The sequence below is a fragment of the Homo sapiens genome, chromosome 18 (genome assembly GCF_000001405.40).
Source record: "Homo sapiens chromosome 18, GRCh38.p14 Primary Assembly".
Lineage (NCBI taxonomy): Eukaryota > Metazoa > Chordata > Mammalia > Primates > Hominidae > Homo > Homo sapiens.
In genome coordinates, this window is record NC_000018.10 from 4142976 (window position 1) to 4166802 (window position 23827).

General features: G+C 38.6%; 1 protein-coding gene across 11 annotated transcripts in view; it reads right to left on the reverse strand.

Annotated features, from left to right (window-relative positions):
* Positions 1–23827, reverse strand: part of DLGAP1 (DLG associated protein 1) — a 959276-nt gene that overhangs the window by 646944 nt on the left and 288505 nt on the right. For 6 of the 11 annotated variants that reach the window (NM_004746.4, NM_001398525.1, XM_047437933.1 and 3 more), the window contains exon 2: positions 8205–8312. The gene's annotated coding sequence lies outside the window, so the exon portion shown is untranslated. The remainder of the gene's footprint in view (positions 1–8204; positions 8313–23827) is intronic. The other 5 variants (NM_001398527.1, NM_001398526.1, NM_001398528.1 and 2 more) reach the window with 1 other exon arrangement.

Genomic DNA, 23827 nt, shown 5'->3' on the forward strand with positions numbered 1-23827 from the left:
TTCTCTGTGCTGAGCTGCCTGGAGCTGGGAGAGAGGTGACACAAGCTCACCTGTGGCCGCCACCACCACTGGGACTGTGCTGGGTCAGACCTGAAGCCAGCATGGTACTGGGTCTCACCCAAGGCCCGCACTAACCACTGCCTGGCTACCACGTATATTTGCTCAAGGCCCTAGGGCTCTACAATCAGGAGGCAGCAAAGCCAGCTAGGCTCATATCCTACCCTTCAGGATGGCAAGTTCCCCTTTGTCCTGGGGAGGTCTAGGGACACAATCCAGGAGCCAGGGCCTGGAGTCAGATACTTTAGAAATCAACCTGATGCCCTATTGTACTGCAGCTGAGCTGGTACTCACAAGTCAAAGTCCTTCCCACTGTTCCCTCCCTTTTCCACAAGCAGAAGAACCTCTCTCCATGGCCACCACTGCCCAAGGCCCGTGATGAGTACTGCCAGGGTACTGCTGGTGGTCACTCAAGGTCCAAGGGCTCTTGAGTTAGCTTGTGGTGAGTGCTGCCAGGCCTGGGACTCACTCTTCAGGGCAGCAGGTTCCCCTCTGGCCCAGGGAAGGTCCAGAAATGCCAGTCAAGAGACAAGGCCTGGTACTGGGTACCCCAAGCCTGCTTGGTGCTCTACTCCACTGTGAGCAAGCTAGTACCTATGGTGCAAGACAAAGTCCACTTTACTTTCCCCTCTCATTTTCACAAGCAGAAATGGTCTCTACCCCTAGTCACCCAAACTGGGGATGTATTGGGTCACATGTGCATCCAGCATGGCTCTGAGTCACAACCAAGGCCCATGGCAAGTGCTGCCTGGCTGTGACGGTTGAATATTCAGGGCTCAAAGGCTCTTTACTCATCAAGTGATGAATCCTGCCAGGACTGGGTCCTTCCCTTCAAGGCAGTGGGTTCCTTTCTGGCCCAAGTTTTCTCTAGACATGTCATGCAGTAGCTAGATCCTCAGGACTCTATCTGGTGTCCTAGCCTACTGTGGTTGTGCTGGTATCTAAGATGCAAGACAAAGTCCTCTTTACTCTTCCTTCTCCTCTCCTCAAGCAGAGGGAAGAAGTCTCTCTTAGGGTGTGAGCTGTGTTGCCTGGTACTGGGGGAGGGGTGGCATAAGCACTTTCTTAGCTGTGTCAGCTGGTGTCCGACTAGATCGTGAGCACGCCAACCCCACTGGCTCCGAGTCCAGCACAGCACCAGGACTTGCCCCAGAATTGCAGTCCTTGTGGCCTAGACTAGCATTTAAGTTTATTTAGAACCCCAGAGCACTTTAGCCCACAGTGGTGAGGCTTGCCAGAATTAGAGTTCTGACTGCTGGGACAGACAATTCCCCTCTGGCTAGGACTAGTCTAAGTGCTGCCTTCATGAGTGCTGGCTAAGTTCTGTCCCACATTGCTTTCCACTGTGAGAGGGCAGCACTGAGTTCCTATACAAAAAGTCCCACAATCACTGTGTTCTCCCTCCCCCCAGGCACACCGATTTCCTCTCTGAGCCACAGGGCCCCTGCTGGGAGACAGGGAAGGGGTGCTGTAGGCAATTCAACACTGTTTTTCAGTGCCTCTTTTAGTGATATGAAGTTAACACCAGGTACTGTGACCACTCACCTGATTTTTAGTTCTTATAAAGGTGATTTTTTTTTGTGCAGATAGTCGCTTAATGTGGTGATCCTGCAGAGAGGATGATAGTGGAGGCATCTATCCAGCTATCTTGCTCCACCTCCCTTACTATGCAATTTTGCTAATGTCTATTTTTTAACACGGTATCATTGTTTCTCTAAACATAGCCTTTAAATAAATAAGACAGGTAAAAATTTTAGGTGAAAATGTCTAGCATATGATAAGAATATGCAAAAGGAAAATAAATCCAGTCAATGTGCCTTTTCTTCCAAGTTGCACCTTTTTACTGCATAGTCAAATGTTGTCCTTGAACATTCTTACAGTATAAACAAATACTCAAATATGTGATTTGTAATAAACTCTATTATACTCTTATTTTACGAAGAAAGTATTTCATCATCTAAAAATAACATTTACGTTTCTTTCAGAGAGTACTTAATCGGTCATTTTATTAAAAATGCCAATGTCAGTAATAATTGCCTATAACTTTTCTATTGTGAAGGTCTTGGTTGCCCAATTAACAATATCACCACCCCCACAATATGTCTATATATTTAAATATCTATACCTATATCTCATAAGGTTTGAGACAGCCTCATCAGTATGATTATCATCCTGATAGTGATAGAACTCTGAGACATGACAAATAAACACAGTATTCTACAATCAGGTTTTCTATCTTACAGATGTCTGAAAAAATCAAGGTATCAAATAGCAATAGCAGTTTTTAGTTTCTAAATTATTTCTGACATAAAAACTATAGAATAGTGAAATAGTAAGATTTATCTCAGAACACATTAACTTGAGAGGATTTATAGAATATTAAAATAGAAAAATAGCCAACAGGATTAAATCCTGGGCTAAGATTGATGAAATATTCCAGCAAAACTTTATTGATCTACTCCTGTTAAGTAGGCAGCTTTGAATTTCTGCTGACAAGTGCTGGGGTAACCAATATCAAAATGACAACTGAAACTAAAAAACACATAAAACAGAACAGAAAAGTATTCAATATCTGCATGAATCTCTTAGTAAACGAATCTTCTATTGACCAAAAATTTGATTTCTTTTGCCTCTGGGTATAAAGCTGCATCTGGCAAATTGGCTATGAAAATAATTTTTTGGAGAACGAGAAGAAAAAAATGAATAATTTTAGTCATTCTGAAATCAGTTAAAAATTGAGACCATATGAACATTTATTCAGGTTAAACTTTTGCCTTGAAGAATCTTTATTTTAGTTTCTCCCCAAGCTAGATTACAAGGCAGAAAACAAAACGTAATTTGCAAACTTCATGCTTGACACTGAGGAATCACTCTTGATGAAAAAGGCCTGACTTGACACATGAAACCATCAGCAATGTATAGAACCAGAGCTATCCCGTGTAGATAAAAAAAAATGCTGAATTTTTCCACTAGCCTTTCAGTCTCAGATGACTAAATTATGGATACATTTTCTAAAGTGTGTTCATCTTTTAAAGTCCTAAATAAAAGTTTCTTACTCTTGTAGAATTATATTGGAAAAGAAGAGTATACAGTAACCTCCATTAACCTCCAAAACCGTGGTGGGATTCTGGTCAGCTTCTAGCTATGTATGTTCAGCTCCTACCAGATGCCGGATTTATTTTATACACTACCTCTGGTCTTTAAAGTGACCTTTCAGGTAATAACACGGCCCCCATTTTACAGATGAAGATACTAAAGTACATAGAGTGGTTCAGTCCATTCGCCACGTTCACACAGTTAATAAATGAAAGAGCCGAGTTTTGAATTCAAGTCTTTCTGAATCCCAAATCCTGCCTTTTCAACTCTATTTTCAAATATGTGCCCTTAGTGGACTGATTGACTCACTCATAATTTTGTGTCGGATTTTAGGTAGGATTTCATATGATCTGTACCTTGAAATTGCAAGATAAGGCACTAGAATGGATTCCAGGGGTTATTTGTCCTAAACCCTTCTTTTTATAATGGAGGTAACTGAAGCCTAGGGACTAGCCAAGAACATACAGCAAGGTAATAACAAAGTTGGGGCTAGGACATTTATGTTTTAATTAATATTTAAGCTTTACTATTAGGCAAACCACAACATAAAATGAAAATTTTAATTTTCTGTTACAAAAGTGAATTATGAGATACATTAAAAAAACGAATTTTCAAGCATTCATATTATCATCTGTTGTTGTTATTTATGCTAATATATGATTACAGGCTTTTTCATGAGTGCGTTCTGAGGTTGACTGCACTACAGAATACATAACAAAAAAATAAGTGGAAACTTGGTTTAAAAACATACAAAATAAATTCCACACTGAGCTCTAAAAGTAGGCATTGAGCCCAATTTCTGGAATAAATCAAAGAGTAGGCAGAAAACAGACAGAAGGAACAGTTATTTTAGCAAGAAAAGTAGGAAAAATTTACCAAGCCAATCATGGGATGATGCATGCAGATAAAAGATGTAGAGAGAAAATGTGCAACACTGACACATGAACACATTTGAATGCAAGAAAGCAAAAAAACCAGAAAGCATAATTGTCCTAAATGTGAATAAACATTCAAATTATGCTGCAGCTGCAAAATTTAAACTCAAGGAAAAGACATTTGCAAAGGAATTTATTAAATAGATGTGATTTGCTGGTTTCACACAACCAGCGGCTCTTTCACAAACTAAAATGTACAATTTATCTTGATATAAATGACATTTCCCCGGTTGTACTCAATCAAGTAGCAAAAAGTCTTTCGTGAGAGACCCTGTTTATTAAAGAGCACAATACCCGGATATTGATACCCAGATGCTTGGGCTTTAACTATGTAGTGTTATTTCATCTAATAAAAGGTCTTATATATTGAGTATGGGCTTATATAATAAGGTTTCTGTGTGAAGGAAAACCACCTTTCTCTATAGCACAAGCCAGAGTAGTTTTTTTGTAAGAAGTTAAGTTTCATGTTGAAACCAGTTCTTGGTTGCTAAACCTGTTCATCCATTCTTCCATCCATCCATCCATCCATCCATCCATCCATCCATCCATCCATCCATCCATCCATCCTTTATCCATCCAACAGATATTTATGGGTTTCCAAAGTCTGTGACACAGTAAAGGATATAAAAATGCATCAAAAATCTTACTGTTGGGAATTTTATGATATTAAGATGGTAACTGACCAGAAGACTCAGAGCTTGTTATTAAACTAACACACCTACTCACAATGGTGATGTTGGCAAGGAAGACCTTTCATTGTGATCAGTCTTTGACTCAAACTGTAACGCAGAAATTGTAGTGCCAGCCTGGATCATTTAGTTTACAGAGTGGTTCTCCAAGTTAAGGTCTCATGGAACAGATCAGCATCATCTGGGAACATGTTAGAAATGTGCATTCTTGGGCCTCACTCCAGAACAGGGGTGTCCGAGGGAGAGAATACAGTTATGTGTTCTTAGTTTCTGTTTCTGGTTGGGCACGGAAAAAGCCCCATCCTTGTCTCTCTTTTCCATTTATCACTAGAGACAGAAACTAAAAGCCATGGCTTCAGGCTGCTAAAAGCCTAAAAGGAAACAAAACAAAACAGAGCAACAACAACAACAAAATAAAGCGGGCTAGATAAGCTTGCTCTAGACCAATCTGTGTTTGAAAACCACAAAGCCTTAAAATCACTTGGAAGGCTTGAAAAAAATCACAGCCCTTACATTTCTACACAATGGGCTAGGCCACTGGTAAGTGAGGTCAAAGAATAAAAATAGTAAGTCTAACAACTTAGAGTGGCATGCTTTAAATGTCTGCTTAAGAAATTTAGATAATGATGAATTGGTAAATCAGAGAACATTTTCTGAGCAAAAAGCAGACATGATCAGAATTGTGATTCTGGAAGACTTTGGAGCCAAAGGAGACCAGGGAGCAGTAAACTAATGAGGGGCAATTACACTGTTCAGGTGAGAAGACACAGTAATTTTTCTTTGGTTATTCAGGAGGATGTCCAGCCTCAAATGAACTGGGGCCCTTCACTCAGTTTGCATGTCGTGGATCCTCTTCATCCCTAGTTTGATTCTGTCTGCTCTTTTTGGTATTTCTGCCTAGCATCTGCTACGACTTTCCTGGTTTCCCTGCACTACCATTCTCTGCTGCCCTTTCTCCTGTCCCCTCCACTTTAATTTCCTTCACGAGGAAATCTGCATGCAAATGCACATCACTTTAAATGTTTGTTGTTGTCTGTTTTATTTTTAATAGCTGCTCCTTAGAGAGTTTATCAATTATATTCTTCCTCTGAGCATATGATCTTCTAGGTCACAACACAACCACAGGCTTTATCCAACTTTATTTTCAATCTGTTTAATGTCCTCATGTCAAAACAAAACAAAGAAGCCCTGATTCACCTTAATGTACTAAATCTGTTTTGCCAGCTGACCATTCATCTAACATTATGCCCAGATAATATATATATAATTTCAGTCTTGCATTTCACACAAACAGGGTTGTTTCCAAATAGGAAAGACAAAAATTAAATTTTTGTGTATACACGGACACCTTCTTGTAAATGAAACAATATAAAGCGAGTAACAAATACAGCTATAATTAAATGTTGTTATATTAATTCTGACTATTCCAACATGTTGGTCATACTTTGGATCTCATATAATGTCTCAAATATACATGGGGACTCAGATGCATTTCTCACTTAGCTGACACTATGCCATCTACTGAAGACGGACAATTTATTCATGAAGAAGTTAGTGTCGAAACAGAATTCACTCGGATTCCATGATATTTAGGTATAATTATTTAATGTCTTTAAAACACAAAACTTTTTTTTTTCTTGGAGATACTTCATTTAGGAGAAAAATGCTGATTTAGAATAAAGTAAAAGGAGCTGCAACAGATGCGGCTGGCTCCCTGCATTATGTCCCGGGGTTCACTTTGGATGTCAACCACAGCTGCAGGGGAGTCTCCTTGCCTTTGCAGGGATCCCTAACCCCCAGGTCATAGACCAGTACTGGTTCCTGGTAGGAACTGGGCTGCACAGCAGGAAGTGAGCAGTGGGCCAGCGTGCATTACGGCCTGAGCTCTGCCTCTTGTGAGATCAGTGGCGGCATTAAATTCTCATAGGAGCATGATCCCTGTTGTGAACTGTCCACGTGAGGAATCTAGGTATGTGCTCCTTATGAGAATCTCATTCCTGATGATTTGAGGTGGAACAGTTTTATCCCGAAACCATCTCCCCACCTCCCCACCCTGTCCGTGGAAAAATTGTCTTCCACGAAACCGGTCCCTGGACCACTGCCTTACAGTGTACACCTCAAGTGACAACTAAGTGTCTTTCTGCTTTCTACCCATGCATGGCTGGCACAGCCCAGCATTGTGAGGGAATTCATGCTCCTTGGGGAAATCCAAAACCAAGGAGAAAAAGTCAGTCAGTAAACCTCCTGCTGCACATCTTTCTAACGGAAATTTGGGCATCTGTACCCCTCCTGGGAGGAACCAAGTTCCCATTGCCTGCAGTGGTAGACTTGCTAACCCACCCATAATTTGGCCTGCGCTTCTTCCCTGATTCACTCTTCCTGCTTCCAACTCTTGATCTTTGGATCAGCTCCCTAATAAATTGCCATACCCAAGTCACTGTCTCAAGCAAGTAACGCAGACAAAGACAATAGCTTATTATTCAGCAATATGAATCTCCTTCTGATCTGACACCACTTCTGTAGTATATTTGATTTATATGTGGTAAGACCCTTCTTTTTTTCTCCCTCCAAAAACTACATAATGAAAGGAGTGGAGATGATAGCAAGGACTCAAGGGTTTTCATTGCCTTTCTTTTGTTTTCTTTTCTTTTTTTTTGAGATGGAGTCTCTCTCTGTCACCCTGGCTGGAGTGCAGTGGTGCAATCTCGGCTCACTGCAACCTGTGCCTTCCAGGTTCAAGCGATTCTCCTGCCTTAGTCTCCCCAGTAGCTGGGATTACAGGCACCTGCCACTGCCTCAGTCTCCCCAGTAGCTGGGATTACAGGCACCTGCCACCACACCCAGCTAATTTTTGTATTTTTAGTGGAGATGGGGTTTCACCATATTGGCCAGGCTGGTCTCAAACTCCTGACCTCAGGTGATCTGCCCACCTCGGTCTCCCAAAGTGCTGGAATTACAGGCGTGAGCCACCACGCCCTGCCTTTCATTGCCTTTCTTAGCACACTTACATCATGTTGAACATGTCTGTGTGGATAAATGCAAATTTGTTCAATATGCTAAGAAAAGCTAACACTATGCCATTTACTTCCATAATTTCATACCTAACCTACCTTATGTACAATATTTGGGTCCACAGATTTATAAAAATGGCATGTGCCCAATATGCCGTTCCAGATTAACAACAACAATGAAGATTAAATATATAAAATACATCTGGCCTAGATTCTGTACAGGTAGCTAGGAAGTTAAAAAACACAGGCTTTAAATTCAACAGACTGTTAATATGTCTGGAAAGTGTATGCCAGGAATATTTTTGTTCAAATATACCATGCTATTAAAAAATGTTTCATATAGGATAGCTGAAGAGGAAGCTGTTATTTAAGAAACTGCTTCCTATACAAGTAAGGGGGAAAGGGGGCAGTTTTACCTTTGATTATCAATTGTCCATTTTCCTTGCTTCCGAGTCAGGAAAAGATCCAAATTGCAGGCTTTTTTTTAACCTGATGTCACTCTGGGTATCTGATGTTCAACTGCTCTGAAACATAACAATGCAATAATTAGATGTAATAACTAGCCTGAAACAAAAAGACACTTAAAAATGATCTCATAAGAACTATTCTGACACACATTATATTCAATGCTGTTAAGAAGAGAGTTTCATAGAAAATCTACATGGCCGTGTTCTTGCATGATGTCACACTTTGTATTTTTATGCTTTTCAGAAAATAAAATCAATCACCCAGAAAAAAAACAATGTTGCTGTAATAAATAGGCTTGATATTCTACAATATACATTTCCTATCATTTATTTTCTTTAAAAAGCAATAAAATGCAAGCATCAATGATCCAATTCTGTAAGACATAATATACATATGCGATTGTATTCACTTCCTGAGCGTTATTTGTTTTCTCAACAGTACAACTAAGCCAGTGTGACTTTAAAAAGGGCTAAAATGTATCATTTTTTTCCAGAGTGGTTCTTTTCATTCTGGAAAAAAGCCACAGGAGGATGCCATTCATGGCATAATATTCCCAAGTGTGCTACTAGAGACTTGCTGGTGCCTAAGTCAAGCCACTATCCTTAATTAGGACAAATACCTAATGCATGCGGGTCTTAAAACCTAGATGATGGGTTGATGGGTGCAGCAAACCACCATGGCACATGTATACCTATGTAACAAACCTGCAAGTTCTGTACATGTATCCCAGAACTTAAAGTAAAATAATAATAATATTAAAAAAATAGTTTCTTAGGAAAGTGACAAAATGGAACATATAACTGGACCCACACTTATGAAGGAGGTAACTATTCCAGATCATATCACATGCTATATGGCTGAGCTATGAGTTTCCTTTCTGAAAAGTGACATAGAAAAGGACCTGGGTCACACAGAAAACTGATCTGATGTCGAAAAGTGTAAATACCTGTAAAGGTCTGTTTCTATTTTTTTGTAAGCAATGTATTCTTTTGGATCTAGGTAGCATATTAAAATATTGTCAGAAGGGAATGAGAAAAATAATAAATCTAAGTAATAAGCAGAAATGTAGTGATATTCAGAATTGAGAATATAATTTGTATTTTTTTAACCTCCTAATTATAAGAATTATAGTGCTTAAATGAGTGTGGAATTCATTTTACAGAAGAGGAAGTAGATGTCAGAGGAGGTGATATGGCTCGATCAATTTTATGCAGTGAATAGGCACAGAGGCAGAGGCAGAATTACGTCCCAGATGCTCTGTCTGGAAGTTCAGTCTCTTTAGAAACTCACATCTTGTTTCCAAAAAGAACACTGGACTTTCAAAAAGTTCAGGGCTAGTACAATTCTCTGCAGAATTTGTTAGAGCAATATTTTGAGACTGGCAAAGCTGACAGGTATGAAAGTGTTGTGGGTGGTAAAAGGCAAGAACAACAGAAACACAACAGCCTCAGGCATGATAATAATACACAGGAGGAACACTTGACTTTCACACATACCTCTTTATCCATGACATAGAAGACAAAAATGAGACGCCATCATCAAAAGCTTTTAGTCATACTTTAAAGATTATGAGCCCTGATTTATATACTAGTATCCTGCTAAGTATTTTCAATATTCCATTAAACCAGACAAGCTCTGAGTGGACTTTCTTCCCCACATATATGAGGACTAAGTAACTCAGGAGATAATGAAAAATTGTTAATTTCTAAAAATATATAGAACTGATCATTTATCCGTTCATGACTATTTATTGAGAATTTATTGTCTGCTAGATAGTACTCTTAATTTTCTTTGGAAACAAAGTGGAAAGATTATGTAATTTCTGAAAAAGACACCCAAAACACAAGAAGAAATTCATTTTATTATAATTGGTTTTATAAGTTAGATAATTGTTAGGTAAACAAATATATTAATCACTAGGAGAGGTCTTAAATGTCATCTAGTGTAATGGTTGCCAAATGCAGTTGATCATCAGAGTCATCTGGAAATTTGCATTAAAATACAATTATAGAATTTCATGCAAGATCGTTTAAATCAGAATATTCATGGGTAAGGCAGGGGAATCTGCATTTTGAAAATGATCCCAGCTAATTCTCCTGATGAAGCAGGTTGGGAAACCTACCAATTCTGTCTGATTTACTCATTATATAGAGAAGGGCATTGAAACCAGAGAATTGACTTGCCCAGGGCATTTGCTTCTTGGTGACAGCACTGAGATTAAAATGCAGAACTCCTGATTCTCCATTTTCTTTTCTTTTCCTTACCCCAAGTGTCCCTCTTTTTAACTTTTTTCTTCCTGTTCTTTTTTTTAACCACCACATAATCAAGATTTAGCATCTATATCTGAGAAAGAACAAGAGTAAAAGAACAAGTACACTATAATTATTTGAGTATCAGAAGATTCAGGTACGTTTTCTCATTAGCAACAATTTACACAGATGAAAGGTGAAAAACAGGAATTTGGACTTCAGCTGTTTGATTCAATCATGTGCTTCCTACTCTTCCACTGTCTTTTTCTAGAATCAGCTACTTGGGAGTTGCCTGCTGAGTCCCTTTCTTTGGGGTCTGCCCAGCACTCTCCATCCTGCAGTTGTCAAAGGGGTCCTCGTTCCTGGACATCCCTGATTGGACCAGGAGAGGTGTTTTTCCCAAACCAGGCCCATAACTGGGACTGTGAGACTATAGCTTTGTCCAGGTTAAAGAGTGATGGGTAAACCATGGAGAAGGAAGAATGGAAGAGACACACATGGAAGGTGGAACAAGAACTCTCTCAACTCATCTGCCTCCTGCTCCCTCTTTTTCATTCTTTTCTGTGGCTTTCATGGGCTCATGTATCCGTAAGAGATAAAGAGACGGAATCTTGCTCTGTCATCCAGGCTGGAGTGCAGTGGTGCGATCATAGCTCACTGCAGCCTCAAACTCCTGGGCTCAAGTGTTCCTCCTGCCTCAGCCTCCAGAGTAGCTGGGACTAGATGTGCACCACCACACCCGGCTATTTTTTTTTTTTTTTTTAATTTCTCGTAGAGATAGAGTCTCTCCATGTTGCTCAGGCTGGTCTCAAACTCTGGCCTCAAGTGATCCTCCTGCCTTGGCCTCCGCCTTTTTTTTTAAATAAAAAAAATTAAATTACTAATTTTTAAATTAATTTTTTTGGCTTAAGCTAACTCAAGTTAGTTTGTTTCTGTAACTCTGCAGCCAGAGTCAAGATGAATACACCTCATATCATTCATTTTATGTGTGTTACTCTATAAGCCAGTCACTTTAGTTACGGTATTCCAAGAGGCTTATTTAAAAACTATTGGCTGAGAGTGCGGAGAAGGAAGAATACACACTACAAAGGTATTGCATTTTATGGAACACCTATATTTTCATCAAATACATGTTTTGAAGTGTGATAAAGTGGAGAAGGTCCCGATCAGGAAGTCCTCTTTTCATCTCAGATCTGACTCTTACAAAGTTTCTGACTTGTGAAAGTTACCTAGCCTCTCTCAGTTTTAATGTCCTTATTTGTAAAATACCTCCTGGCTAACTTTAGCCAGGTTAGTATGAGGAACAAGGGAAAGCACTCATTCATTCTCTCATTCATTCATTCGCCCCACCGTTCTGCAAAGATTTAGCGAGCATCTATCATATGCCAAGCACTATCTAGGGGATGAGAATACATTAGTGAACATTTCATTTTAGTGAAGACAAATAAACAGAAAGTAAATAATAAATGTAAAACAGTAAATTATAGAGCAGTTCAGAAGGTGAAACATGCTATAGATGTGAGAAAAACAGACCAAGGTAAGAGGTATCAGAAGTGCATAGGTAGGGAGGTGTAGGGAGGAGAAGGGATTCCACCAAGAAAGTGAGATTTGATCAAAAACTTGAGAGATGTGAGGGAGTGAGTCCCATGCCAGAGAAGGGTGTTCCAGGCAGAGGGACTGCAGGGTTATAGTGCTAAGGTGGGAGTGTTCCTGGTTGGTCTTGGGATTGCAATAAAGTCATGGGATGGAGTGAAGTGAGGGAGGAGATTAGTAAGTATGTGCACAATTTACTTCTACAAATCTGCTGCCCATTGTGAACCATGTGGGAACTGATGAAAATAAGTCGCAACAATTTGCTTTATTTGGGCACTCTACGGTTCACACCATGCTTATATGTGGATTTGCCCACCCTGCTACTTGGAACACATTTTCCTCCCTGGGTCTTTTAAGGCACTGTGAGGAATAGTAGTAGGTACAGATAATACAAGGTAGTTCAACTAGGATTGCTAACCTCATAGACTTTTCTCCCACAGTTGCTGTTTAGTATATTTTCTGAATGTAAAGATGTGTATATTTTTCCTTCCAAAGTAGTGAATAAGGAATTCATTAAGAGCAAACTACACTACTGAAAAGTGGGTATATGTATATTAAAAGATATATGTCCAGCAATTCAGTACTTAGACAAGCTTATGAGCAAAGATGAGCTGTTATGAATTTGTAACATTAAACATGGTGGGCTGGTGGGGTGCTGTGGGGAAGTGGAAGAAGGAGTGGATCAAGGATGGCTCATGGCTTTTCAGCTTTTACTCTGAGAGTGAAAAGGGGGCCATGGCAGGAGTTTGAGCTTACAGTCGACATGGCTTATGTTTCAAAACCTCATCCTGGCTGCTGGTTTGGAACAGTACATAGGAGAGGTCAGGATGCAGGTAGCTGGAAAGCTTGTGAACCACCTGGAGACAGGCAACATTTGCTCCGACTCGGGTGGGGCTGAGGAGCAGTCAGATCCATGCTGAACTTGTTCTGAAGCAAGAGTTGACAGGACCTTTTGATGGATTGGGTGATTAGGGTGAGAAAATAAAGAGACAACAATGACCCCAAGATTTCTGGCCTAAGCAACTGGAAGAGTGACCTCGACGTCGCTGGAGATGAGAAAGGCTGAGTCTAGAGCAGGCTTTTTAGGGAAAGCTGATACGTTCAGTCTGGCCATATTGATTGAATTATCAGTGCCAACTGGACTTGCCACATAGGTGGCTGGATATACAACACCGGAATGTGGGAGAGAAGTCTGGGCTGGAGTTTGTGTTAGAAGCTTTCTGGTATAGCATAGGTGATTGGTAGTATTCCTATTTCCACCACCACAGATGATTATATAAGGATTAAATAAAATAATATATGTAATGCACAGTACCTGGTATGTAACAGGAATGCAACATATTTTAATTCCCTTCTGTTTCCTGCCGTTATTTAAAAATGTATCTTTTTCTACTGACTATATTATAAGATTATGTTATCTTTCTGTGAAAAACCAATCAATTTCTGCAAGACACCATATCATACTTTACATTTTGGCAGTCCTTTTTAAAACAAAGGGAAATAATCTCCTGATAAAATGTTGATAATCATACTCAGTAAGTCATAAAAGAGAATTTCCAGGAAGCAAGGTAAATTTTTGTTTGGATAGGAGATGAAAGGTCTAAAGAGAAAGTGAAAACTGAACAGATATGAATCTATAGACCTAAAAAAACCCTAAACTTATCTCAGATCTCCCTGGATTATTTTGGACACAGATCTTGCTTTTTTTACTTTATCTTCTAGCACTTAAGAATTTTTTTTTGAGCAATGATTAATAGTCCTATAAGATGAAGAAGATGCAGAAATATGAGAAAGATGATCATGGCCATAGGGCCGAGTGCACAGCTGAGGAGGAACATTTCTGAAAGGCATGGATGGCTGAGAAACTCTGGAAGCTCTAGGGTGAAATCTTTAAAGTCTACAGTTGTATCTTTAAAATGAGTTTCTTGATTTATAAATGCCTCTTTCACAGAACAAATTTTAAACTAGAAACCATCTATGTTTAAATCCTGTTTTAGACGTGAAGTTTATGAAAACTAGACGGGGACATGTCTTGTCTGAGATCATGGACCACCAAGATCAGAGGTGGGACCGGGCCGTCAGCTCACTTAACTCTGGGTGCTTGTCTTTGCACTCAAATAGTTTCCTTAAGTTGTTTTACCCAACTCCCTGTTTTATGTAACAAGCATCATTTGTTTTAAATCTCACATTTTATCTTAAATTTTACCTTATAGTCCATAAACTATTATGTAGGTTTGAAAACAATGGTAAACTATCTATGTGCTTCACTCCAGTGGATCGTAGAAATAAATTCCAGAATGAGGTCTGCATTTATTCTGTGACTTTCCACGTGTCTGAGACAGCATTAGTTCACATAATAAAAGAAGGAAGACTAGTCAGTTTCCACTTTCTTTGCAAATCACTTTGCTAATTGGTTCCTCATTTGTGTATAAGAGATTTCAAGGCAGGCTGGATTCATGGGTGTGTGACTCATGCAGCTTCAGAGGGAAGACCCCATGCTCAGAAAAGCCCTGTGCTTTGTTCAGTGATTTTAGTAGTTGAACCAGTGTTTTGTGGGCAAAGTCCAATAGGACAGTGAGCATCAAGGGAGCAGGGGCTGTCTGCACACTGTGCACATGCTCAGCCATTCTGCGCTGCCTCATTCATACGTGATGTTCATAATGGTGAATTCTGGGGGATGCACAATTCATGGGAGTCTGGTGAGTTTCAACATGAGAGCACGAGTAAGTGTGCTATGTCTGTGAGTAAGTGGGGAAGCTGGCAGCCCCAAGACGCCATGCTCGCCACTGGAACCAGAACTTCCTTCAACCTTAGCAAGAAGGCAAAGGGTTTTAAGAAACACAGATGACCACGGGAGCCTATTGCATCCTTTCTTCCTTGAATAATTCCCTGTATCAGCCAACTGTTTATGCTGAAAATGAAGACATACAAAGAGAGAGAAAGAAAGAGCAAACCACAGGTCTTTTTCTTGCAATCCTTCCTTACTCATGAGTAAGTCAAAGGGAGAGAGTGTATCCAGAAATGAAATATAAAGTTATTTAAATCTTGTATATCATTTCCACTGTTTGGGTAAGGATGACATACATATGTACGATCTATGAAATACCTAATTTTTGCTGATTGTGCATGCAAAGCAACTATTCTTATAGTTGCATTGCACAATACAAAGTGAATGGTAAAATTTGTGCTAAGTTTATATTTTTGTTTTTTATTTACTTGGAATAACATGAAATATCAAATAAAAACTAGTAGAAAAAGTCAAGAGGGGAATGGCAGAAGGAAGGACAGTTTTATACATTATCACCTTTAATGGCCCTTTGTTCCTGCTTTCCGAATAAGGGACCTGCATTTTCACTTTGCCCTGGGCCCTGCAAATTATGTAGCCATTAACATTCACCCTGATGTTATGAACTGGCACACAACTAGCATTATTAACTTACAGCTTAAGTATCATATAGAGAACTTTGGAAATAGAACACCTTCTTTTGAAAATCCTAGTACAACTGCAAACTGAATTAATCTGCTCTCTGTTCTCCTCAACGTCTTCTCTCATTTTCCGACTGACTTCTTGGACACTTGACCAAAGTTCCTAATTCAAATTAATCCTTCTCAGAAGTCCCCCAGCTCTTAATTTAATTTGATTTCTAATTTAATTCAATTTTAATATTCCATTTGAAATGCCACTGCCCTCAAGGTCAAATACTCAGCTGGGGAAGAGAGAAAAGTCAGTGATAAAAGAAATTTAGTCTAAGGTGTGAATGATGAAAATAATTGATACTTTAGAGGGATATTAAGGTAAGCATATGTCCAAACTCATCAGATTGCATATATTGAGTATGTACAGCTTTTTGCAATCAGTCATACCTCAATAAAGCTGTTTTAAAAAAAGAACCACTTGTTAGGCCTAAATGACCTTAATTAGTAAGAAACAATATTTTAAAGGAAGAAAACTTCATATTACTTTCTGCTAAGAAGGCCCTTCTACCCTAATCCATTTGAAAGAATGAGCAGTTGCCTATTTCTGAACAATTGCACATTATTTCTTTAAAGATGACATAATGTGCACATAGTACCTTGCTGCCCAGCTGGTTTCCTGTCTTCAACTCTCCTCTCCCATCCATTCTCCAAGTAGCTGCCAGAGAGTCCTTCTAAAATACTATACAGTGTGAAACTGATCGGCTTAAACTCAATTGCTTGCAGGGTCTGATACAATCTCCTTGGTTAGGAAGTCAGTGCCCTTCATGATCTGGCCCTGAAACTCTGCTTTCCTTCTCCAATACTGTAAACTCCAACAGAACCAAACTGCTTTCTTGAACTCAACCTCCGGCTTTTGAATCATTGTCCATGGACCAAGCCTTTGAATCTTTGCTGGTCTCTTCTTTGCCCGGCAAACTCCTACTCATCCTTCATGACCCCACCAAAAATTAAGCTTCTTCTCTGTAGCCCTTTCTTCACTCTTTTCCTATTTATCTGTTTTTCTCAGTAAAATGAAAGCTCCCCACGGAATGAACCTGTGTTGTTCATCTGATATCTTTGGCACCTAAACTCAAGTTTGGTACATTGTAGGTACTATACAAATGTGGGTTGAATGTAAAAAAAAATGAAGTAATGTGTACTCAAACATAACCAGGTATTTTCCAGTTAATTGAAAAGGGCCTTACAATCACGAAATACATAGGCTTATTTCATTTCTTTAAAGTTCACCAAAAAGAAAAGCACTTTAAAATAGGTAGTGCTAGTTGGAAACTTAGTCTCCATTCTCTTGTTTGTACTTTTTTTTGGTCTGCGTTCTTCTCTCTTATCCTTATATCTCAGTCCGCCTGTGGAAGCTTGGCAGCTTCAGGAATTTGGCTAAAGGACTCTGCTGAAATGTTAAGGTACTGCCTCCCACACCAACTCACTTCTTCGCAAATAAGATGATTTTGGGATCCTCCATGAACAGAAAGTGCGTAATGACTCATTGTGATATCACAACTGTTGTCTTGTTACAAAAAGATTTACAATTTATTTACAACTAAGATATTGCACTATTTGGTAATATCTTATAATCTGTGTGCAGAAGAATAAAAATCCTTTTCCCTAAGGTAGAATTCTTGGCTAAAAGGAGGTTTATCAAACAAGCATTGGGATAAACTGGAGATTTTGATATTTGTTGTCAATCACTTATGTGGGAACTCTCCATGTCTTACATTTGCAAGGCATTTTTTTCTTAAAATCTCTGAGAGTAAAATTCACTAGACTATTATAATCTGTTTGTCCCTACTGAACTCCCATTACTTTCTCTCCATCCACTGGGCTGACTGCCTTTCACATCTCTTTCAGTTTTTCCCCCTCTGTATAAGCTTAACTTCTGTTATAAGAAAAGCTACAATTTATTGAGTACATTCTATATGCCAGACTCTTTTGTAAAGCATATTATTAATGCATCGATTATTTCATTTAAAATTCACAATAAGCCTAATGAGGTAGGTTCAATGATTATTACCATTTTGTTCAATGATTATTATCCCTCAGAAGACTGAGATGCAGAGATATTAAGAAACTCATCTTAACATTAGAGATGTTAAGAAATCAAAATATTACACCTGTAAGTGGATGTATCACTATACAGACCTAGGCAGTCTGGTCTCAATTTCACCTCTCAGTGTTTGCCTCAAGTCAAATGTGCAGATTTATTTTTTATGAATTAATTTCCCCCTTCTTATTTAATTCCTTAATATAAGCCTGTCTGTAAGGCTTTCAAAGTTTCCCATGTTCCGGGAACTTTAAATACATTACTTCATTTAGATATTATTATCATTATCCCATTCTACAGATACCAAAATTGAGGCACTAAGAGATTACGTTACTTAGCCAATGAGATCTCACAGAAAATTCTGGAACCAAGATTTAAATCTAGTTCTTTTTGTCATTATGCTACATTGTACTCTTCTGTGTCAGATTTTGTTTTCCTTATGCTTTTTTTTTTTTTTAATGGCTGAACAATACATTCCACAGTTTATTTTTTTCTTCAACTTTTAAGTTCCGGGGTACATGTGCAGGATGTGCAGGTTTGTTACATAGATAAACATGTGCCATGGTGCTTTGCTGCACAGATCAACCCACTACCTAGGTAGTAAGCCCAGTATCCATTAGCTATTCTTCCTGATGCTCTCCCTCCCGCCACCTTTCCCCAGGACAGACACCAGTGTGTGTTGTTTCCCCGACCAACCCCACGTGTCCATGTGTTCTCATTGTTCAACTCCCACTTATGAATGAAAACATGTGGTGTTTGGTTTTATGTTCCTGCATTAGTTTGCTGAGGATAATGCCTTCCAGCTCTATCCATGTCCCTGTAAAGGACATGATCTCATTTCTTTTCATGGCTGCATAGTATTCCATGGTATATATGTACCACATTTTCTTTATCCAGTCTACCATTGATGAGTATTTGGGTTGATTCCATGTCTTTGCTATTGTGAATAGTGCTGCAATGAACATAAGTTTTCCCTGTTCTTATAAATAAATTTTCTATGCCAAAGTATAGAAGAGCCTTATTTTTTAAAAAATCAGGTTGGTGACTAGTTCATTTGTTAGAGCCAAATTTTTAGCTGCCAAAGAGACCAAAATCTTACTTCCGAGCCTGTGTATGCCAGTTGGCAATGCTGGTTCCACTGCCACAAAATGTAACTCTGTTCCCAGACAGCCACTTGGAAAATGCATGCTGCTAATCATGAAGCAGAGAATTACGTACCTTTAAAGGTTGATGGAAGTTTATCATGCCTCAGATCTAATATAATCATTTCATATATAAGAAAAGCACAGAGAGATTAAGTGGCACACCTAAGATGACACAGTAAATTCATAGCAAGCTTGGGACAGTCATTGAGATTTTCTGACACTAAATCTGAGGTCTTCATCCCATACAACAAAAGCAGTCTCTGCAGCCATTTTGTCATTGTGTCTTAAAAAAATGTATTCATACATTCAACAAATACTGAGTGGTTACCTGTGCCAGACAATGTTCTAGATGCTGGAGATAGAGTAGTAAACAAAAAAGAAAGATTCCTGCACCCCTGGAGCTTTACATCCTGGCATTGTAATGGCAGAATGGAACAAACTGTTATGGAAATAAGGATGATCCAAAGCGATAATGTCTCATAGGCAGAAGAGCTTATTAGTAGAGTTACAGTTTTGTGCATATACTCAAAAGCCTACTAGTTACATTGAAAGGATTATTGGTATCAATAAATAGGAATGGTGTGGGTTATGTGGTACCAATGGAGAGATGATAAGATAGGGTCTCTCTGCTCTCAAGGAGCTTAAGGATGAAGTATGTCATGTAGATTAAAGGAAATGTTTTACTTTCCAATTAAAATTTTTAAAGAAAATTTTGTCACATTAAAAATTATCTTTTACCTTAACAGATAAAAATCATTGTGTGCACCTACTAATCCAAGTCAATTATAACTACAAGGAAGTAAATAATCTGAAATCCAAAAATTCCACCTAAATTTTCTGAGATTAATCCATTTGAAGTCTTTGAAAAGGTTCTATACCTGATTTTATATGACCATGTCCAGTGTCAGAGAAATAACTACAATAAAGTATTAAATTTGCCTCTAAGTCAACATATATCTTCTTCTTGCCAATAATTATTGTAATAAAGTGGCAAAATTGAGCTCCTGGTCACAAGGTGTGGTGACATGTGCTATTAGTCTGAATAGAAACAGCCACCCTAAAGCTATTCAATAATGGAAAACAGAAAGCTGTGCAATTTAAAGTGCTCTACTAAGCCTGTTCCTTAATTACAATATTTTGCAATGTCAACGCACACCATTATCTGAAATAATCAGAGTTTTTTTTTAAAAAAAAACATAATATCATTCTGTTTTGAGCTAGTCGCAAAGTACTCTTTGTTGTCTTCCATGATGTTAAATGCTTGAGTCTGACTCGCCCACTGCTAAGAGTGTTGAGTAGGTATAGCTGATATTCTGTCCCCATTGTAGGCCAGCACTAAGACATCTTTACTAATGTCCAGCAATAGAAAGACATCTAAACCCAAGATATAGTTTAATGTTACAAATTCATAACCACTCATCTTTGCTCATAAGCTTGTCTATGGGCTGAATTGCTGGACATATATCTTCTAATATACATATACCCACTCTTCAGTAGTGTACTTTTGTCTTTAATGAATTCCTTATTCACTACTTTGGAAGGGCAATTATACACAACTTTACATTCAGAAAATATACTAAATGGTAACTGTGGGAGAAAAGTCTATGAGCTTAGCAATCGTAGTTGAACAACGTTGTATATCTGTACGCACTACTATTCTTTACAGTGCCTTAGACGGCCCAGTGAGGAAAAGGTGTTCCAGGTAGCAGAGTGAGCTAATCCACACGAAAGTGTGATATGAACTGTAGAGTGCCCAAATAATGCAGTTTATTGTAACTTATTTTCATTAGTTCCCACATGGTTCACAATGGGCACAGATCTGTAGAAGTAAATTGTGCACATACTTCCCACTGCCAATGTCATCACAATAAAATGTCTGCTAAAATAGAGGGCAGTAATTCTGTTGATATAATAATTAGCTAAGACAGTCCATTCCCGAAGCAAAAACAGTGAACAGAAATGCTGGGAGCCTCTTTTTATTTCCTTTGCTTCCATCATGGATTGAAAGTTTGTAGGGCCATCTCTGGAAAATGCCGTGAGAGAGTTACATTTTCTTCCATACTTTTCTGTGTCCCTTTTCTGCACCTCTCTTTTCCATTTTGATGTTTTCTTTTTCAGATATTATTATTCAAATTTCCCTTCATTAAAATTATAATTCTCCACAAGAAGTGGTCCAGCCCAAGAAGTCTCCTTGTCCCTGTAGATCTAAGATGCTCCTCCCTCACTGAGAGACATCCAGGGGCTTGGCCAGTGAAAATTCACTCAGCTCACTCATGTAGTACTAGCACGGGTGAGTGGAAACTCTGGCAGCACCAGATGAATCCAGCAGACCAAAATAGCAATGGAAAGCACTGAAAACTAAACTGCCATTGGAACCATGGTCCATAGAAGTAGGCCAGAACCTGCACGCTAAACATAACAGTGTGAGTCCTCACTAAAATCAAAGATTTAAACAAGACCCAGAGTCCCTAATTTAACGGATAAAAGGCCCAAGATACCATTAAAAAAAGAAAAATCACCTGTCATACAAAAATCAAGGAAACAACAACTTGAATGAGAAAGGACAATCAACTGACACCAATATTGAGATGAACCAGATGGTTAAATTATCTGATGGGTTTAAAACAGCTATCATAAGACTGTTTAAACGATCAGACACTGCCGGGGCTGGGTGTGGTGGCTCACGCCTGTAATCCCAGCACTTTGGGAGGCGAAGATGGGTGATCACCTGAGGTCAGGAGTTTGAGACCAGCCTGGCCAACATGGTGAAACCCCGTCCCTACTAAAAATACAAAAATTAGCTGGCTGTGGTCATGGGCGCCTGTAATCCCAGCTACTTGGGAGGCTGAGGCAGGAGAATTGCTTGAACCTGGGAGGCGAAGGTTGCAGTGAGCCAAGATCGCACCACTGCTCCCCAGCCTGGGCAGCAGAGAAAGACTCTGTCTCAAAAAAACAAAACAAAACAAAACAAAGCAACAACAACAACAACCAAAAAACAAATGCAAGTGCTCTTGGAACAAATGAAAAAATAGAGAATTTCAGCAAAGAAACAGAAATTATAAAAAAGGACCAAATGGAAAGTCTAGAACTAAAAAATAGAAAAACATAATTATTTTTAAAAAAAGAACCTTGGTAGATGGACTCAAAAGCAGAGTGAAGATAACAGAACACAGAATCGATGAACCTAAGGATAGATGAATTGAATTCACACAATCTCATCAACAGAGGGAAAATACAATATTAACAAAATGAACAGAGTCTTCAGGGGCCTTTAGGAAGATTACAAAAATCCAAATTCATATCCTTAAAAAGAATGGAGAGAGGGTGGGGCTGAAAGAATATTCAAGGAAATAATGATTGAACACTTCCCAAATTTGGTGAAATACACATATTCACAGAGTCAAGAAAACTCCAAACAAGATAAACCCCAAAAAGTGTAGACTAATTAAAATTAAACTGAAAAGAAAGGCAGAGAAAATATTTTGAAAGGAGTCAGAGAAAAATAATGCCTGTCTCTAGGGAGGCAGCAATTTGAATAACAGCAGATTTTGCATATGAAACCATGAAGGCCAGAAGAAAGTGGCAAAACGGTTTTCAAGTGATAAAACAAAAATGTTGTCAACAGCAAATTCTACATTCAGCAAAACTGTCTTCAGGAAAGAAGAGAAAATAAAGGCATTCTTATGTAAAGGAAAATTAGAAAAGTCTGTCACTACCCAACCTAACTTTAAAACTTGGCTAAAGGAAGTTCTTCAAACAGAAAGAAAATAATAAAAGAATCTAGAAGCAAAAGAAAAACAGGAACAAGTAAAAGAGCAGAAATATGGGTATATTGTGAGTTTCATAAAATATATTTGATGACTGAAAAAAATATTAAAATGCAATCTGATACTTAAGACAATCATATCTAAAAGTGGGGAAGGTAAAGACACCTGAATGGAAGTGGGGCTCCCACACTTTACTTAAAAAGGTAAAATGCTGGTACCAGTAGACTGTGAAAAGTCACATATGTATATTGAAATATCCAGAGCAACCACTACAAAAACCATACAAGGAGATCCACTCAAAACCATTATAGAGAAAATATTTGCAAACATATGTCTGGTAAGGGACTAATATCCAAAATACAGAGAGAACATCAAGCTAGGTACAGTGACTCATGCTTGTAATCTTAACACTTTGGGAGGCTAAGGTGAGAGGATGGCTTGAGGACAGAAGTTCAAGACCAGCCCTGAACAATGTAGTGAGACCCTGTCTATATAAAAAATCAAAAAAATTAGCCAGGCATGGTGGCATGTGCCTGCAGTACTAGCCACTCAGGAGCCTGAGGTAGAAAGATCACTTGAGTTCAGGAATTTGAGGTTGCAGTGAGCTATGATCATGCCACTGCACTTCAGTCTGGGTAACAGAGTGAGATCCTGTATCTAAAACAAACAAATAAACAATAACCACAAAATCCAATTAAATAATGAACAAAGGACTTGAATAGACACTACTCCAAAGAATATATACAAATGACCAATAGCACATGAAAAGATGCTCAATATCACTAAACACTAGGGAAATGAAAATCAAAACCACAATGAGTTACTACTTCATACCCATTAGGTTGGCTGTTATAAAATATATATATATAAGATTATGAGTGTTGACAAGGATGTGAAGAAATTGGAACCTTTGTGCATTGCTGGTGGGAATGTAAAATAGTGCAGCTGCTATGGAGGCTGAGGCAGGAGAATTGCTTGAACATGGGAGACGAAGGTCGTTCCTCAACAAATTAAACAGAATTATCACATGATCTGGCAATTCCTCTTCTGGGTATATACCCAAGAATCGAAAGCATAGGCTTAAACAGATATTTGTATACTACTGTTCACAGCAGCATTAATTCACCGTAGCCAAAAGGTAGAAACACCATCCACGTGTTCATGAACAGATAAATGAATGAACAATGTGGTATATTCGTATGAAGAAATATTATCCAGCCTTATGAAATTCTGACACATGCTGCAACATTGATGAACTAAGTGAAATAAACCAAACACACAAAAAGATAAATATTGTATGTT